Source organism: Homo sapiens, chromosome 22 (assembly GCF_000001405.40).
Source record: "Homo sapiens chromosome 22, GRCh38.p14 Primary Assembly".
In the NCBI taxonomy this organism is placed as follows: domain Eukaryota; kingdom Metazoa; phylum Chordata; class Mammalia; order Primates; family Hominidae; genus Homo; species Homo sapiens.
Genome location: NC_000022.11, coordinates 41,296,382 through 41,314,508, shown reverse-complemented (window position 1 = coordinate 41,314,508; position 18,127 = coordinate 41,296,382). Strand labels below are relative to the sequence as shown.

The 18,127-nt window shown below is 51.0% G+C and overlaps 2 protein-coding genes across 3 annotated transcripts in view, besides 6 other annotated features; one reads left to right on the top strand and one right to left on the bottom strand.

Annotated features, from left to right (window-relative positions):
* ZC3H7B (zinc finger CCCH-type containing 7B) overlaps window positions 1–12,984 on the bottom strand; it is a 58,623-nt gene extending 45,639 nt beyond the window's left edge. For both annotated transcript variants that reach the window (XR_007067960.1, NM_017590.6), the window contains exon 1: window positions 12,737–12,984. The gene's annotated coding sequence lies outside the window, so the exon portion shown is untranslated. The remainder of the gene's footprint in view (window positions 1–12,736) is intronic.
* Window positions 5,151–5,650: an enhancer, noted in NCBI's record as "H3K4me1 hESC enhancer chr22:41704863-41705362 (GRCh37/hg19 assembly coordinates)". NCBI's record gives its function as "activates a minimal SCP1, AML or CMV promoter by ChIP-STARR-seq in primed H9 embryonic stem cells {active_cell/tissue: H9 hESC(primed)}" and the evidence as "EXISTENCE:reporter gene assay evidence [ECO:0000049][PMID:30033119]".
* Window positions 5,651–6,152: an enhancer, noted in NCBI's record as "H3K4me1 hESC enhancer chr22:41704361-41704862 (GRCh37/hg19 assembly coordinates)". NCBI's record gives its function as "activates a minimal SCP1, AML or CMV promoter by ChIP-STARR-seq in naive and primed H9 embryonic stem cells {active_cell/tissue: H9 hESC(naive and primed)}" and the evidence as "EXISTENCE:reporter gene assay evidence [ECO:0000049][PMID:30033119]".
* Window positions 12,140–18,127, top strand: part of RANGAP1 (Ran GTPase activating protein 1) — a 57,591-nt gene continuing 51,603 nt past the window's right edge. Inside the window, exon 1 of the mRNA NM_001317930.2 lies at window positions 12,140–12,476. The gene's annotated coding sequence lies outside the window, so the exon portion shown is untranslated. The remainder of the gene's footprint in view (window positions 12,477–18,127) is intronic.
* Window positions 12,375–12,876: an enhancer, noted in NCBI's record as "H3K27ac hESC enhancer chr22:41697637-41698138 (GRCh37/hg19 assembly coordinates)". NCBI's record gives its function as "activates a minimal SCP1, AML or CMV promoter by ChIP-STARR-seq in naive H9 embryonic stem cells {active_cell/tissue: H9 hESC(naive)}" and the evidence as "EXISTENCE:reporter gene assay evidence [ECO:0000049][PMID:30033119]".
* Window positions 12,608–12,677: a silencer, noted in NCBI's record as "silent region_13784". NCBI's record gives its function as "represses an Ori minimal core promoter by ATAC-STARR-seq in GM12878 lymphoblastoid cells {active_cell/tissue: GM12878}" and the evidence as "EXISTENCE:reporter gene assay evidence [ECO:0000049][PMID:35858748]".
* Window positions 12,958–13,297: a silencer, noted in NCBI's record as "silent region_13783". NCBI's record gives its function as "represses an Ori minimal core promoter by ATAC-STARR-seq in GM12878 lymphoblastoid cells {active_cell/tissue: GM12878}" and the evidence as "EXISTENCE:reporter gene assay evidence [ECO:0000049][PMID:35858748]".
* Window positions 17,410–17,704: a silencer, noted in NCBI's record as "tiled region #10804; K562 Repressive non-DNase unmatched - State 23:Low". NCBI's record gives its function as "represses a minimal TATA promoter and a strong SV40 promoter by Sharpr-MPRA in K562 cells {active_cell/tissue: K562}" and the evidence as "EXISTENCE:reporter gene assay evidence [ECO:0000049][PMID:27701403]".

The window sequence follows — 18,127 nt, the reverse complement described above, 5'->3', positions numbered from 1 at the left end:
CAAGACCAGCCTGGGCAACACAGTGAGACCCTTATCCCAAAAATAAAAAATAGGTTGGGCGCAGTGGCTCACACCTGTAATCCCAGCACTTTGGGAGGCTGAGGCAGGTGGATCACTTGAGGTCAGGAGTTCGAGACCAGCCTGGCCAACATGGCGAAACCCCATCTCTACTAAAAATACAAAAAGTAGCCAGGCTTGGTGGCACTCGCCTATAGTCCCAACTACTCGGGAGGCTGAGGCAGGAGAATTGCTTGAACCCGGGAGGCAGAGGTTGCAGTGAGCTGAGATCGCAACACTGCACTCCAGCCTGGGTGACAGAGCAAGACTCCATCTCAAAAAAATAAATAAATAAATAAATAAAATAAAAATTAAAAAGGGCAAAAAACATAAAAAGGAAATTCACAGGAAAATAAATTATTAAGATACTCAAACTCACTGATTAAAAAAAGATGCCGGACAGGCGCGGTAGCTGACGCCTATAATCCGAGCACTTTGGGAGGCTGAGGCGGGCAGATCTCCTGAGGTCAGGAGTTCAACACCAGCCTGGCCAACATAGTGAAAACCCGTCCCTACAAAAATACGAAAAAAAAAAAAATTAGCCAGGCATGATGGCGGGTGCCTGTAGTCCCAGCTACTTGGGAGGCTGAAGCGGGAGAATCGCTTGAACCCGAAAGACCGAAGGAAGTTGCTGTGAGCCGAGATGGCACCACTGCACTCCAGCCTGAGCGACAGAGAGAGACTCTGTCTCAAAAACAAAATCAAAAACACAAAAAAACACAAGATGCCAATTTTCACCCATGAGACTAAGGTGAAAAGAAAGCCTGGTTGACGAGGATGGAGAAACTGGCACTCCCAAGCCCTCCCTGTACGTATACTGACAGTGTAAACTGGAATCATCTTTGAGAAGCAATTTAGCAACATGTACTAAAATGAGCAAGGCAGGCCCTGCTGGCTGCACCCAGCAGCCAGTTTCCCCTCTTGCTCCTTCAAGGTTGTCCATTTCCCAGGCACTCAGGTGAACCTTCACTGGGCTAAGCCAATCAGAATGGCCTTTTTCCCTTGCCAGTGATTGGCTTTGGTAAGGGCATGTGACATCTGGCCGGGTACGGTGGCTCACGCCTGTAATTCCAACACTTTGGGAGGCCAAGGTGGGCGGATCACGAGGTCAGGAGATCCAGACCTCGTCACGGTGAAACCCCATCTCTACTAAAAATACAAAAAAATTAGCCTGGCGTGGTGGCGGGCGCCTGTAGTCCCAGCTACTAGGGAGGCTGAGGCAGGAGAATTGCTTGAACCCGGGAGGCGGAGGTTGTAGTGAGCTGATATCGCGCCACTGCACTCCAGCCTGGGCGACACAGCGAGACTCCGTCTCAAAAAAAAAAAAAGTCTGACCCAAAACATTACCTGCTTCTGGAACTGCCCCACCTCATTTTTTATGTGAGAAAACAAACCCCCATTTTGAGCTAGGAATTCTGTTACTTGCAGCAAAAATTCCTCCAAATGGTAAAATGTCCTTTCACTTTGACACAGAAATTTCACTTCCAAGAATTTAATCTATGAAAATCCCTACACATGTACTCAATTATATTTGCATAGGATGTATTATAATTGTTTTGTTTTTGAGACAGGATCTCTGCCGCCTAAGCTGGAGGTCACTTCAAACTCGACCTCCCAGGCTCAAGCGATCCTCCCACCTCAGCCTCCCAAGTAGCTGGGACCACAGGCACGCACCATCACGCTTGGCTAATTTTTTTTGTATTTTTTGTAGAGACAGGGTTTCACCACATTGCTCAGGCTGGTCTCGAATTCCTGGCCTCAAGCAATCTACCCACCTCAGCCTCCCAGAGTGCTGGGAGTACAGGCGTGAGCCACCATGACCAGCCAGGGATGTATTATTATTATTTATTATTATTATTTTAGAGGCAGGGTCTCACTGTATCACCCAGGCTGGAGTGCAGTGGCACCATCGTGGCTCACTTCAGCCTTGACCTCCTCAGCTAAAGTAATCCTCCCCAAGTAGCTGGGACTACAGGTGTAGGACGTATTATTATTATTATTATTATTATTATCATTAAGACAGGGTCTCACTCTGTTGCCCAGGCTGTAGTGCAGTGGCATAATCTCAGCTCATTGCAGCCTCAGCCTCCCAAAAAGCTGGGACTACAGGAATGTGCCATCATGCCCAGCTAATTTTTTGTATTTTTTGTAGAGACAGGGTATCACCATGTTGTCCAGGCTGGTCTTGAACACCTGGACTCAGGTGATCTGCCCGCCTCAGCCTCCCAAAGTACTGGGATTACGGGCATGAGCCACCACGCCGAGCTAGGATGTATTTTTTTTTTTTTTTTTTTTGAGACGGAGTCTCGCTCTGTCACCCAAGCTGGAGTGCAGTGGCACGAACTTGGCTCACTGCAAGCTCCGCCTCCCGGGTTCACGCCATTCTCCTGCCTCAGCCTCCCGAGGATGTATTATTTTTAAGAGTAAGTGGAAAACTAGAAGCAACCTTAATGTCTACCAGTAAAGGATTAATTTAATTAACTAATTTAATTAAAATGAATTAAATTAGTTAATTAAATTCCATACCATGGAATACAATGCAGCTATTGAATCTATATGTATTGTCATGGAGATGCCTCCATGCATGGTTGAGGAACAAAAAACGAAGCAGATTTCTCTGTTGGGGGCTCGTCTTATTCTGCCCAGGTCTCAAGACCAACATCCCCGAGCTTCCATTTAAGGGACAGTGCTCCTGCTCTCTTCACTACCTGCTCCCCAGATGAGCTCTTGCATTTCATGATAACATGAGTCATGTTAACGACTCGCCTATCTCTTCCTCCTGCCAGGCCCACCCCCTTCCCCAGTATTTCAGACTCATATCTCTTATCTTCTGGGTAGTGGTACCTGGAAGTCCAACACCCAGGCTGCCTATGACTTCCATCCCTTTCTTAATCTTGGGCCCTCTACCTGGAATGCCCTCTGCCACACACACCTTCCCAACTCCTACTCATCCTTTAAGACCCAGCTTAGATGCCTCTGTGTCCAAAGTCCTCTTTGGTGCCATCTCAGCTGGATTGGGTGTTTCTCCAACTGAACACATTCCAAACTGAACTCAGCATCTTCTCCCCTAATCCTACTCCTCTTCCATTATTCCCTGACTCTATTCATAGCTCTGAGCATCATCCTGTTCTCAGCCACCTTTACCTCATAAATATTTCCCCACCCTGCAACCCCTCATATCCTCTCCACAAGCACGGCCACCTCTCGGACCCTCAACATCTCTTGCCAAGTTTCCAATGCACCCCCTCCAATATGCTCCCATTCAGTGGTCAGGGATATCTGTGTAACGCATATGCCAATGTCACTCCCCCACTCAAAACCGATGTGCACACATGCACATATACACGCGAATGAATGCAGGCTAAAAAAAAAAAAAAAAAAAAGTGAGGCTGGGCGCGGTGGCTCACACCTGTAATCCCAGCACTTTGGGAGGCCGAGGCGGGCAGATCACGAGGTCAGGAGATCGAGACCATCCTGGCTAACACGGTGAAACCCCCTCTCTACTAAAAACACAAAAAAATTAGCCGGGGGTGGTGGCGGGCACCTGTAGTCCCAGCTACTCGGGAGGCTGAGGCAGGAGAATGGCGTGAACCCAGGAGGCGGAGGCTGCAGTGAGCCGAGATAGTGCCACTGCACTCCAGCCTGGGTGACAGAGCAAGACTCCATTAAAACAAACAAACAAAAAACTCCCTTTTTAAAACAGTAACAGAAGGTCATTGTAAAAGCTTTGGAAATTATAAATTTGGAAATTATAAAATTAAAAAATAAAATTTGGAAATTATAAAATTAAAAAATAAGCCAGAATCACCCAGAGCTTAGAGTGACTGTCTAACACTGTGGCATACCCTGTTCCTCTTGAGCAGTTAAGTAGTCACTGCTCCTGCTCCCAGGGAGCTTGGAAATCCTTGTGGTGCATCATTGGGCATCAAGAGAGTTTCCAGTGCTGCTCTGCTTGCTTTCGTGCCTTGTGCTGACAGGGAGGCAGGCTAGGCCATGCAATCCACCAGCCCTGGGTTCAGATCCCAGCACTGTCCCACACTGGCTTTCAGGGCACCTCCCTGAGCCTCAGTTTTGTCATCTGGGAGACAGGGATGATGATACACACCTGACAAGACAATTTTGCAGCTCCACCTGGTGTGCCTCCCCCTGAAGGGGTCAGAAATTCATGTTTCTGCTAAACTGGGTGCTGTAGAGAGCACTCACAACAGACATAATTATCCTGTAAGTTTTCAATCACTCAATGTTGATTTACGGAGTCTCGCTCTGTCGCCCAGGCTGGACTGCAGTGGCGCCATCTCTGCTCACTGTAAGCTCCGCCTCCCGGGTTCACACCATTCTCCTGCCTCAGCCTCCCGAGTAGCTGGGACTACAGGTGCCCGCCACCACGCCTGGCTAATTTTTTGTATTTTTAGTAGAGACGGGGTTTCACTGTGTTAGCCAGGATGGTCTCGATCTCCTGAACTTGTGATCCGCTCACCTCGGCCTCCCAAAGTGCTGGGATTATAGGCATGAGCCACCGTGCTCAGCCATCAATGTTGATTTCTTTGCAGTTTCCCTGCCCAGTCGTGGGCTGTTTGGCAAGGGCTATTCTGTGGCCAACCTCCTACTATTATTCATTTATTCAACAAATAACCATGAAGCACTTTTAGTGCAAGGGGCCCTACCAGGTGCTAGGGGAACACAGTTAATAAAGTCCTTTCCCTGGTGCAGCTTGTCATCCATGGGCAGGAAGACAAATAAACCAGCGTGAAATGCACACGACAAGTAAAAATAGAGATCAGAGTCACAAGGAAGCTGAAGCAGGAAGCGTGGCATGGAGTGATGGAAAGTACATTAGGGCCGGATGCGGTGGTTCACGCCTGTAATCCCAGCACTTTGGGAGGCTGAGGTGGGCAGATCACTTGAGGCCAGGAGTTCAAGACCAGCCTGGCCAACATGGTGAAACCCCATCTCTAATAAAAATACAAAAATTAGGCCGGGCCTAGTGGTGGGCACCTGTAATCCCAGCTACTCAGGAGGCTAAGGCAGGAGAATCACTTGAACCCAGGAGGTCAAGATTGCAGTGAGCCGAGATCACACCACTGCACTCCAGCCTGGACGACAGAGCGAGACTCTGTCTCAAAAAAAGAAAAAAAGAAAGCAGGCCGGGCGCGGTGGCTCACGCCTGTAATCCCAGCACTTTGGGAGGCCGAGATGGGCGGATCACGAGGTCAGGAGATCGAGACCATCCTGGCTAACACGGTGAAACCCCGTCTCTACTAAAAATACAAAAATTAGCCGGGCATGGTGGCGCACGCCTGTAGTCCCAGCTACACGGGAGGCTGAGGCAGGAGAATGGCATGAACCCGGGAGGCGGAGCTTGCAGTGAGTCGAGATCGCGCCACTGCACTCCAGCCTGGGCGACAGAGCGAAACTCCGTCTCAAAAAAAAAAAAAAAAAAAAAGCAGACTGGGAGTTTAGGGAAGGCCCTTAGGAGGAAGCTGACATTTAAGAGAGATAGGTAGCCAGCCATGGAAGATAGGAGGTGGGGTAAGAGGGCACCTACCTAGCAGGGGACAGGGCACAGGCAATGGCCCTGAGGTGGGAACAAGCTGATAATGTTCCAGGAAAACTCAGAAGGCCACCGTGGCTGCAACACCCAAGCAAGGGCAAGCCACGTGGGAGGCAAAGTGCAAGGGGCAGGCGAGGCTGGTCTCAGAACCACTCACAGGCCATGCCGGGAGCCAGGGCTGTGTTTTGCGTGTGTCAGGAAACTGCAGGAGAGTTTTCAGCAGAAGAGTGACAGGAGCTTATTTATTTCGCAAGAAGATCCTTTTGGCTACTGCAGGGAGGACGTATGACAAGAGAGGATACTGGGAGATTGGTTAGGAGGCTACTGCAGTGGTTCAGGCCTGGATCAAGGCAGACAGTGAAGAAGATTCAGGAATATTCTGAAGGCTATTAAATGATCATAACTACAACCCCTGATGCAGATTCGACAGGATCAGTACGGCCGTTTCACAGAAAAGGAGACAGAAGCCAAGAATGACAAAATAATAATGCCTCCATCATACAGCCAGCATGAACAGGAGTTGGGAATGAAACTCAGGACTTTGGGCTCCCTGCCCTGCGTTCCTCAGCCTGTGGAGGGAGAGGGATGACACAGAGATGCTCCAGGGAACAAGAGCATAGCTGAACCAGGGCGACCTCTAAAAACCCCAGGAGGGCCAGAGCCCCCACCTTCCCTGCAGCCCTCACAGGAAGTGCTCAAGGAATGATCATCAGCTGACTCCAGCACTTCAGTAACACAAACCAATCAGAAGACATGGTTCTCGGTCTCAGGGAATCCAATACCCTGTTCCCCTCCCAAGTCACATTGTGGACTGGGTAGGAAGAGCAGTGGGTGGGTGATGATGCCTCAGTCTTTTTCTTCTGAAAAACAGGGACACCTCTTACCTTACCTCAAAAGACTGTCATGACAATTAATGAGAGACTGTGGACACAGCAGGACACAAATGTTGGTGGTAGTTAGGATTTCCAGATTGATAAGAAAAGAGCTTCGAGGAAACTGGAAGTAACCTGAAGACTGTCTCCTGCATGGCAGCTAAGACCTCGGATGCCAGGTGGCTTCATCTGACTCCCTTCTCTACCTCAGCTGTGTGATCTCAGAAGTGTTAACTTAGTCTTTCTGAGCCTCAGGCTCCTCATCTACAAGATGGGGCTGCCAATGATTGCTCTGGTCTTGAAGAGCTGTTAAGTGGATTCAATAAGAGAAGGCATAGGAAATGTCAAGCACGATGCTGGTATACAGTGGTGTTAACCATATGGGGGCTGCTGTTATATGGGTGTTATGTGCTGCTATATGGGTGATCGTATCCCCACGATCCCCACCAAGCTTGTGTCTCAGCCTCTGACGCTGAGGAGCTGTGATGCTGCAGAACTGAAGTTACCAGATGTTTCTGAAGGGAACAAGCGCTCTGAATGCAGGAATGTCCCTCCCTCTGGGCCTCCATAGCCCGGTGGGGAGACAGCACCAACACAACCAACACGGCACCAACACAACCAACATGCCTGCAAAGAAACAGTCTCCCTGGGGGGAATGAATTTGGTGAGAAGGAATCTGTAGCTGGTGCTGACAGAGGAAGGAAAATGAGCTTGTTTTCCAGGGGCCATGAAATGTGATGAAAGGAGCCGACTTCAGGCCCAGCACGGGCTCATGCCTATAATCCCAGCAGTAGGGAGGCCAAGGCGGGTGGATCACGAGGTCAGGAGTTCAAGACCAGTCTGACCAACATGGTGAAACACCATCTCTACTAAAAATACAAAAAAAAATTAGCCAGGTGTGGTGGTGCGTGCCTGTAATCCCAGCTACTCAGGAGGCTGAGGCAGGAGAATTGCTTGAACCCGGGAGGCAGAGGTTGCAGTGAGCCAAGATCGCACCACTGCACTCCAGCCTGGGTGACAGAATGAGACTCTGTCTCAAAAAAAAAAAAAAAAAAGAAAGGAGCTGACCTCTGTGGAGGCTCCTGGGGGCTGACGCACAGCCCATCATCAGCCCAGGCTGAGCCTCCAGCCTGGGGCTACAGCACCTCCACCCGCTGCTGTCTGAATAACCTCAGGTCTCCCCTGAGGCTCCTTCCCAGGCCCACACCAGGCCAGCTCCAGAGCCAGACATCCTGGGTTGGCTCTGCAGCTCTGCCCCTTCTGCACTTCACTGAACCTCTCTATGCCACAGTTTCTTCACCTGTAAAATGGGGATAATTACAGTGCCTCCCTCTAGGGCTGTTGAAAGAATTAAATAAAGGCTGGGTGCAGTGGCTCACGCCTGTAATCCCAGCACTTTGAGAGGCCCAGGCGGGTGGACCACTTGAGATCAGGAGTTCAAGACCAGCCTGGCCAACATGGCAAAACCCCGTCTCTACTAAAAATACAAAAATTAGGTGTGGTGGCGGACACCTGTAATCCCAGCTACTTGAGAGGCTGAGGCAGGAGGATCACTTGAACCCGGGAGGCGGAGGTTGCAGTGAGCCAAGATCGTGCCATCCCACTCCAGCCTGGGCGACAAGAGTGGAACTCCGTCTCAAAAAAAAAAAAAAAAAGAATTAAATAAGCTAATTTAGGAAAAAGCACTTGCAACAGGGCCTAGAGAATTGCTGGTTCAGTGATTACTAAATTAATAAAAATTTTTAAACACTTCTAGCTCCTTTCATCTGAGTTTCTTATCCTGATCCCCAAGCATGGGTTATCATTAAATATCATCAAATCTCAGGGCTCCTTTTCAGAAGGGGAAACTGAGGCCCAGAGAATCGAAAGGATCATGACGGCAGAGCCTGACTTGAACCCAATGTCATGTATCTGCCCACTAGACTGTGGCTGTACCAGGTGACCTGTTCTTCTTTATACATCCCTGCCTTTGTCCATCTCAATGCCTCTGCTTAGAACACCCTTTCTCTGGCTTTTCAACCTATCTTTCAGATGTTCAAATGGCACTTCTAGGAAGATCTTCTACTCTTGGGCAAAATAAACCTTCCTCCTCTACATTGGGGCATAATTCAATTTGACAACACAATGGCTGAGTGTGTCATCCTGGCACCGCCTCTGGGGCTGGAGGCACAGAGGGTGAATCAGACCCAGTTCCTGTCCTTGGGAAGCTCAGATTAATGGTCCATATCTATCTCATCCCAAGCTCTAAGCTCCTCCAGGGTGCTGGGCCGGCACCCAGCAGGCACTAAGGAACCAAACTTGCTCAGATCCCCACGCTCAGGGACCGGTCCTCCTTCTACTGCCATTCTGCTTTCTGCAGTTAGAAACCTACTGAGAGTGCTTTCACTGGTCCAGCCCCTCGGGGCCCTGGGATACAGAGCCAGTTTAGGAGAACTCCTTGGTCTTGGGGAGCCTGTTGACAATGCTACCCCAGTTTCATTTGCTAATTCAGACCATCCAGTCTCCATTTTTGTTTTTTTGAGACAGAGTTTCACTCTGTTGCCCAGGCTGGAGTGCAGTGGCGTGATCTTGGCTCATTGCAACCTCCACCCCCCAGGTTCAAGAGATTCTCCTGCCTCAGCCTCCTGAGTAGCTAGGATTACAGGCACCCACCAGCATGCCCAGCTAATTTTTTTTTTTTTTTTTTGAGACAGAGTCTTGCTCTGTCGCCCAGGCTGGAGTGCAGTGGAGCGCTCGGCTCACTGCAAGCTCCGCCTCCTGGGTTCAAGCAATTCTCCTGCCTCAGCCTCCCAAGTAGCTGCGATTACAGGTATGCACCGCCACATCCAGCTAAGTTTTGTACTTTTAGTAGAGGTGGGGTTTCACCATGTTGGCCAGGATGGTCTCAATCTCTTGACCTCGTGATCCACCCGCCCCGGCGTCCCAAAGTGCTGGGATTACAGGCGTGAGCCACCGCAGCCGGCCAATTTTTGTGTTTTTAGTGGAGACTGGGTTTCACCATGTTGCCAGGTCTGGTCTCGAACTCGTGACCTCAAGTGATCAGCTCGCCTTGGCTTCCCAAAGTGCTGGGATTATAGGACAGTCCCTGTTCTTGCTTACGTATCTGAGAGGAAGGTGGTGCAGAGGGCAGGAGCACACTCAAGAGTCAAGAAGGCCTGGATTCAAATCCTGCAGATTGACCTTGGGCTGGGCACACAAATCCCGTGTTCCTCAATTTCTTCATCTGTGAAATGGAGATTATAATGCCCACCCCTCACGGAGCTACTATAACAATTCGAGAGAATGTAAGTCAACTTCCCAGCACAGAAGCAATTGTGGCTAACCCAGAAATTCCCTTCTTCTCCACCCTGGCAAGCCTCCCCATTCTTTGAAGTTCAAATTCTACTTCCTAGAAGAAGCCTTCTCTAACTTTTCCAGGTAGCCTTGAGCTGTCTTCTCTCCACTCCCACTGCACTGACCCCAGAATTCTTGTGTTCTCATTGGTTCACTAGAATCAACTTTCTCTTTCCAGCCAGATAATAAATGACAAAGTCAATTGCAAACCTGCCCCACAGCATCTCACAAGAGGCACTTGAAAAGTAACTTGCAGACAGGCATGAGGTGGCTCACGCCTGTAATCCCAGCACTTTGGGAGGCCGAGGTGGGTAGATATGTTGAGCCCAGGAGTTCACTTGAATTCAGATATGTTGAGCCCAGGAATCACTTGAACCCGGGAGGCAGAGGTTGCAGTGACCTAAGATCATGCCACTGCACTCCAGCCTGGGTAACAGAGTGAGACTCTGTCAAAAAAAAAGAAAGAAAGAAAGAAAGAAACTTGCAGCAGCCAGGTGTGGTGGCTCATGCCTGTAACCCTATCCCTTTGGGAGGCCAAGGCAGGAGGATTGCCTGAGCCTGGCAGACTGAGCTACAATTGTGCTACTGTACTCCAGCCTGGGTGACAGAGTGAGACCTTGTCTCAAAAAATAAAAAGAAGGCTGGGCATGGTGGCTCACGCCTGTAATCCCAGCACTTTGGGAGGCCGAAGTGGCTGGATCACGAGGTCAGGAGATCAAGACCATCCTGGCTAACACGGTGAAACCCCGTCTCTACTAAAAATACAAAAAATTAGCTGGGCGTAGTGGCGGGAGCCTGTAGTCCCAGCTACTCAGGAGGCTGAGGCAGGAGAATGGCGTGAACCCGGGAGGCGGAGCTTGCAGTGAGCCAAGATCGCGCCACTGCACTCCAGCCTGGGCGACAGAGCGAGACTCCGTCTCAAAAAAGTAAAATAAAATAAAATAAAATAAATGAAAAGTAACTTGCTAAGGTGGCCCAGGACTCTGGGAAAGGGTGACGATTTGGAGCCAGAAAACTGGGTGGGAATCCTACCTCTGCTGTCTGACTTTCCAGCAAGACACACAATTCGGCCTAAGGTTTCTTATCTAGAAAATGTCTACCTGACACAGTTGCTATGGAGGACAGATGAGCCAACACATGTGAAAGCCCTTTTGTTATAAACTAAAAAGTGATATTTGAGGGATTATTATTTTCAGATTGAGGGATTATTTTCAGATTCTCTATCCATGTCTCAACCGACATCTCAGCTTTCCTACTAAGACTCGAGAGATCAGCACATCCCACCAAGCTTCTAAGCCCCACAATAATCTACCAAAACCCCCATTCCTGTCTAACCTATACAAAAGCCAGCAGCTAAGAACACACAGCATCTACAGAACAGAAACTTTATCCCAGCTCAGGGACAACAAAGTCTCTCTCCCATCCTCAGATCTCATCCCTCCTGGACAGGTTCTTTCTTCCCACCTTAAGTCTCCCCACTTCTCAAACATGCTCCATCCAACTGTTGACCAGGTGTCATTTCCACCTTGCAGTCCAACTTCTGTGGGAGGTGGACACGGGGAAAGAAGACCACCACGGAGGGGATGGCTGTATGTGTGTAGAGGAAGTATTGGTAGTAGAACTAAAGATTCTGCCAGCATTTTGTGTCCAACACAGTTGCTACATGTACTATAATTATCTCATTTGTGTGAAAATTCAAGGATCTGCATTCTGCTATTTTCATCAGGCTGAACTGCAGATGCTGAGGAATATGGCAAGAAGTTGGGGTTCAAAGTCTGATGCCAAAGCTAGCAACCCGAGAAATAAAACCGCTGATCACCAGCTCCCCACTCAGGCCCAGCCCCCTTTTAGAGCCCCCAGACTCCCCACGCAGGGCCCTAGCCCCCTAGTCTTCCCCGTCAATGCCCTGTTGGCAATACAGCCATCAGGTTCTATCAGAGTGAGCTGTTTTTATATGATTATTTTCCCCCCTGGGAAGACGGCTTTGTCTGTGAAAGTCCCCCCAACCAGGCGCCTTATAAACGCCTAAAACAGACAGAGTTGAGGAGAAAGGAGGGGAAAGGAGGAGGGAGCAAACCCGGAGGGGGGCCCTGAGGTTCGCAGCGGGCAGGATGGGGGTATGAGGCCGGAGTCGGCGGCTCCCAGGCCCCCAGCCCCGTCAGGGCGCCCCCGTCCCCAGGCGCCAGAGCCGGGGTCCGCAGCCCCCTAGCACTCCCTGGACGGCCGCGGGCCTCCCACAGGCCTCGAAGTCCAGAGACTGATCCTGCGACCGGAAACGCCCCCCTGCCCAGCAGGCCCAGACCGCGCCCCCCTTTCCTGCCGCCCCCTTCCCGCGGGCCCGGCTGCAGGCCCCGGATCCCCGGGCTCGCGTGGCCGCCGCAGCCGAAAGGGGCGGCCCGTCGGGCGGCCCCGCTCCCCGGCCCTCGCCGCGGCCCCTCCAACTCCGGGTGCTGCGGGGCCAAGGACAACACAAAAGGAAGGGGGGCCCTGCCAGCGACGCCCCTGCCAGCCCCCGAGACCCCCTGCGCGGGGTCGGCAAAGCATCTGGACACCCCAGAAGCTCCGGACGCCGAAGAGAGAGGCCCCACGAAAATTTCAAGACACCTCCTGGGGGCTGCAGGGGCGGCCAAGTCTCCCCAGCGCCAGGTGCCCCCGGCCACACGGTAACTTTTAAACTTTGGGGCAGGGCACGGGGACCGGGATCCCCAAAAAGGAGCAAATGGGGTTTTAGAGACGATTTATTTTTTGCAAAATCCCACTTTCCAGGTGGCCCGGCGCGCGGCCCCGGCCTGGAAAGGGCTCTCTTCGCCTCTTCCCCAGCCCTGCCCGGCCCGGGCGTCCCCGAACCCTCGCGCGCGGGCGGCTCCGGACGCAGTGTCCCCGGCCTCTGCCCCGCGGGGCTCGGGCCGCGCCAAGCACTCACCTCCGCCGGGCTGCGCTCCCCGCGGGCCTGCGCCGAGCCCGATAAATGGTATGCTATGACTAGAGGTATGATTACGTTATTATTATTAGTAATAATAAGAGTAAATGCTATTTAATTACGGGCGGCCGCATCCTGCTCCCGGCGCCGCCGCCCCGGCAGCTCCGTCCATGTGGCTCTGGAGCGCTTTACTTTCATTTCCAGCCCCTCGGCTGGCCGCTCGCGGCAGCACCCGCTGGAGGCACTGTCTCCCTGCAGCTCTTCCTCCTCGGGTCCTAGAGAGCTCGGCTCCCGTCGCCTCGCCGCGCCCGGGGTGGGCGGCGCGGGCTGCGCACCTGGGGAGAAGGGCGGGGGGCGTGGGGGCGAGTCGGGGAAGCCCCATTCCCCGTCGAAAGCTCATGCCTGGAATTCACCTTTATTTTCTTTAAAAGTGTCCTGCCTTTTAGGGGGGTTTCTTTTGGCAGTTCTGCATTTCTGGGCTGATGCTGCTCAAACCCAGCGCCTCCGCCCTTCCCCATCTGTGTCAAAAGTCCCCCCGCCCCCCTTCTCCGGCTTCCAGGTGCTTTCATGGAAGGCTGCCCAAAACCCTGGTTGCGTTGTGCCCTTCTCATAGATGGGAACCGGAGACACATAGAAGAATCAGGACCTCACTTGGCTGGAGTTTTATGTATAGGATGTTAAAAAAAATATTGAATGACACTTGTTAAAGACTACAAGGCCGACTTTATTGGCATCATGATGGGTGTAGGGACCACTGCAGTGGGTTTTGCGGTCAGGGAGAGTATTTGGGCTCAATTCAGAAATCAGCATGGGCAACTGGGAATTTATGAGGAAGGAGAAAGGATCCACTGATTGAGCGCCAGTGCATAGGAAACTGCATCAGAGATGAGAGGATTCTCGCTTAAACCCATCTAACAAGATTCTTGCTGAAGGCAGGGCAAGGTGATCAGACATCACCTGGGGAATGGTGGAAAATGAGGAACCTGATTAGATATTGACAATCAGGGCTGGGTGCAGTGGCTCACGCCTGTAATCTCAGCACTTTGGGAGGCCAAGACGGGTGGATCACCTGAGGTCAGGAGTTCAAGACCAGACTAGCCAACGTGGTGAAACCCCATCTCTACAAAAATACAAAAATTAGCCAGGCGTGGTGGTGGGTGCCTGTAATCCCAGCTACTCAGGAGGCTGAGGCAGGAGAATCACTTGAACCCCAGAGGTGGAGGTTGCAGTGAGCCAAGATCATGCCATTGCACTCCAGCCTGGGCAACAAGAGCAAAACTGTCTCCAGAAATATATGTGTGTGTGTGTGTGTGTGTGTGTGTGTGTGTGTGTGTGTGTGTGTGTGTGAGTTCCCAATACCCCCTAGGCAATTTACAATGAAACACCCTTGACAACTTATCACATTTACCACCATGGTTATTATCACTCTCATTTCATCGATGAGGATGCTGAGGCCAGTTGGATTGCTGCATTTTGCCTCAAGTGAACTAGATGGCAAATGGTCTGGTGATTCCACCACCCCAGGTTGCTGGTGAAATAATGAACACATATTCTTGAAGAGGACTGTCCATCATTCAAGGGGGATTCAGCAGGACACCAGCCTCTTATCTCTTCAAGTTGGTACCAACTTGTTCAATTGTTTGGGCTGCCTAAGATGGTAAAGGGGTCTTTATTACAAGACCCCAACCAGAGGTGAGGATGCTTTGGAGAAAAGGGCCAGGAGGAGGCCGGGCGCGGTAGCTCACGCCTATAATCCCAGCACTTTGGGAGGTTGAGGCGGGCGGATCATGAGGTCAGGAGATCGAGACCATCCTGGCTAACACGGTGAAACCCCATCTCTACTAAAAATACAAAAAATAAGCTGGGCGTGGTGTCGGGAGCCTGTAGTCCCAGCTACACAGGAGGCTGAGACAGGAGAATGGCGTGAATCCGGGAGGCGTAGCTTGCAGTGAGCCGGGATCATGCCACTGCACTCCAGCCTGGGCGACAGAGTGAGACTCTGTCTCAAAAAAAGAAAGAAAAAGAAAAGGGCCAGGAGGCTGGCATCGGTAGGCTTTCTGGGAAGCCCCATGTTGTCAGTCCCATGTTGTCACAGTGTGCTCTATGTCCCCATGTTAAAGCTGAAATAGCAGTAACAGCCACCGCTTCTTTACTATGAGCCAAACACTTTGCATATGTTGATTCTTTTACCCTCTCAAAAACCCTGTAGCTCGGCACGGTGGCTCACATCTGAAATCCTAGCACTTTGGGACGCCAAGGTAGGTGGATCACCTAAGGTTAGGAGTTCGAGACCAGCACGGCTAACGTAGTGAAACCCTGTCTCTACAAAAAAATACAAAAATTAGGCCGGGCGCGGTGGCTCAGGCCTGTAATCCTAGCACTTTGGGAGGCCGAGGCGGGTGGATCACAAGGTCAGGAGATCGAGACCATCCCAGCTAACACGGTGAAACCCCATCTCTACTAAAAATACAAAAAATTAGCCAGGCATGGTGGCGGGCGCCTGTAGTCCCAGCTACTCGGGAGGCTGAGGCAGGAGAATGGCTTGAACCTGGGAAGTAGAGGTTACAGTGAGCCGAGATCGTGCCACTGCATTCCAGCCTGGGCGACAGAGCGAGACTCCATCTCAAAAAAAAAAAAATTCATATGTTGAATCTCTAATCCCTGATTTGATGGTATTAGGAGGTGGGGCCTTTGGGAGATAATTAGGTCATGAAAATGAAGCCCTGATGAATGGAATTAGTGCTCTTATAAGAGACACTGGGGAGATTATCTCTCTCTGCCAGGTGAGGATACAGCAAGAAAGCAGCCATCTATAAACCAGGAAGGCGGCCCTCACCAACAACCTGACCATGCTGGGACCCTGGTCGTGGACTTCCAGCCCCCAGATCAGTGAGAAATAAATTTCTACTGCTTAAGCCATCCAGTCCATGGTATCTGTCATAGCAGCCTGAGGTGACTAAGATGGGGGTAATGTGAGTACTGTACTCGATGGGGTACACCCAAAATCCCAACACTAGGAGGCCGAGGTGGGCAGATCGCTTGAGCCCAGGAGTTTGAGACCAGCCTGGGCAACATGACAAAACCCTAACTCTGCAAAAAATACAAAAAATTGGCCGGGCGTGGTGGCTAATGCCCGTAATCCCAGCACTTTGGGAGGCCGAGGCCGGGCGTGGTGGCTCACCCCTGTAATCCCAGAATTTTGGGAGGCCAAGGTGGGCGGATCACCTGAGGTCAGGAGCTTGAGACCAGCCTGACCAACATGTTGAAACCCCATCTCTACGAAAAATACAAAAATGAGCCAGGTGTGGTGGCACGCACCTGTAATCCCAGCTCCTCAGGAGGCTAAGGCAGGAGAATCGCTTGAACCTGGGAGGTGGAGGTTGCAGTGAGCCGAGATCGCGCCATTGCACTCCAGCCTGGGCAACAGAGTGAGACTCAGTCTCAAAACAACAACAACAACAAATTAGCCAGGTGTGGCCAGGCGCTGTGGCTCACGCCTGTAATCCCAGCACTTTGGGAGGCCAAGGCGGGTGGGTCACGAGGTCAGGAGTTCAAGACCAGCCTAGCCAATATGGTGAAACCCTGTCTCTACTAAAAATACAAAAATTAGCTGGGCGTGGCCAGGCACGGTGGCTCATGCCTGTAATCCCAGCACTTTGGGAGGCAGAGGCGGGTGGATCACCTGAGGTAGGGAGTTCGAGACCAGCCTGGCCAACATGGGGAAACCTTGTCTCTACTAAAAATACAAATATCAGCCAGGCGTGGTCACGGGCGCCTGTGATCCCAGCTACTTGAGGCTGAGTAACAAGAAACGCTTGAACCCAGGAGGCGGACGTTGTAGTGAGCCGAGATCGTTCCACTGCACTCCTGCCTGGGTGACAAGAGCGAGACTCCATCTCAAAAAAAGAAAAAAAAAAATTAGCTGGGCGTGGTGGTGTGCACCTGTAGTCCCAGCTGCTCTGGAGGCTGAACCAGGAGGATGGCTTGAACCTGGGAGGCAGAGGTTGGAGTGAGCCAAGATCACACAACTGCACTCCAGCTTGGGCGATAGAGCAAGACTCGGTCTCAAAAAAAAAAAAAAAAAAAAAAGCCAGGTGTGGTGATGTGTGTGTAGTCCCCAGCTATTCAGGAGGGTGAGCCCAGAATCCTCAAAGCGGAGGATCCTTGAGCCAAGAAGGTGGAGGCAGCAGTGAGCCATGGCTTCATCACTGCACTCCAGCCTGGGTGACAGAGCAAGAGGTTGTCTTGAAAAAAAAAAAAAAAGTACTGTACCCAACTGAAAGGGTCTGTGATGGCTCATGATGTGTCCACTTGCCTGGGCCACAGGGTGCCCAGATATTTGGTCAAACATTCTGGGTGCTTTTGTGGGGGTGTTTCCAGATGAGTTTAATATTTAAATCTATAAACTGAGTAAAGCTGATTGTCCTCCCTAAGGTGGATGGGCCTCATCCAACCAGTTGATGACCTGAATAGAACAAAAAAGCTGACTCTCCTGCAAAGAAGAGAGAATTCCTCCTCCATGATGGCCTTCAAGCTGGGACATTGACTTTTGCTTTCTTTTTTTGAGAGGGAGTCTTGCTCTGTTGTCCAGGCAGGAGTGTAGTGGTGCTATCTCAGCTCACTGCAACCTCCACCTCCCAGGAGTTCAAGTGATTCTCCTGCCTCAGCTTTCCAAGTAGCTGGGGCTACAGATATGCGCCACCACACCCGGCTAATGTTTGTATTTTTGGTAGTAACGGTTTTCACCGTATTTACCAGGTTGGCCTTGAACTCCTGATCTCAAGTGATCTGTCCGCCTCGGCCTCCCAAAGTGCTAGGATTATAGGCCTGAGCCACTGCGCCCAGTCGGGACATTAATTTTTTCCCTGCCTTTGGATTTGACCTGAACCATCAGCTCTTCCTGGCTCTCTAGCCTGCTGACTGTAGATCTTAGGACTTCTCAGTCTTCATACTTACATGAGCCAATTCCTTAAAATAAATCACTTTGTGTGTGTGTCTCTCTCTCATACGTACATATATCTCCTGCTGATTCTATTTATCTGGAGAACTCTAATATAGGGTCACTGCAAGGACTGAGTTATTATATGCATAGCATTGATATATGTGTGTGTGTTTTTTTTTTTTTTTTGGAGATGGAGTCTCACTCTGTCACCCAGGCTAGAGTGTAGTGGCACAATCTCGGCTCACTTCAACATCCATCTCCTGGGTTTAAGAGATTCTCCTGCCTCACCCTCCTGAGTTGCTGGGATTATAGGCATGTGCCACCACACCCGGCTAATTTTTATATTTTTAGTAGAGATGGGGTTTCACCATGTTGGCCAGACTGGTCTTGAACTCCTGACCTCAGGTGATCCACTCACCTCGGCCTCCCAGAGTGCTGGGATTACAGGCATG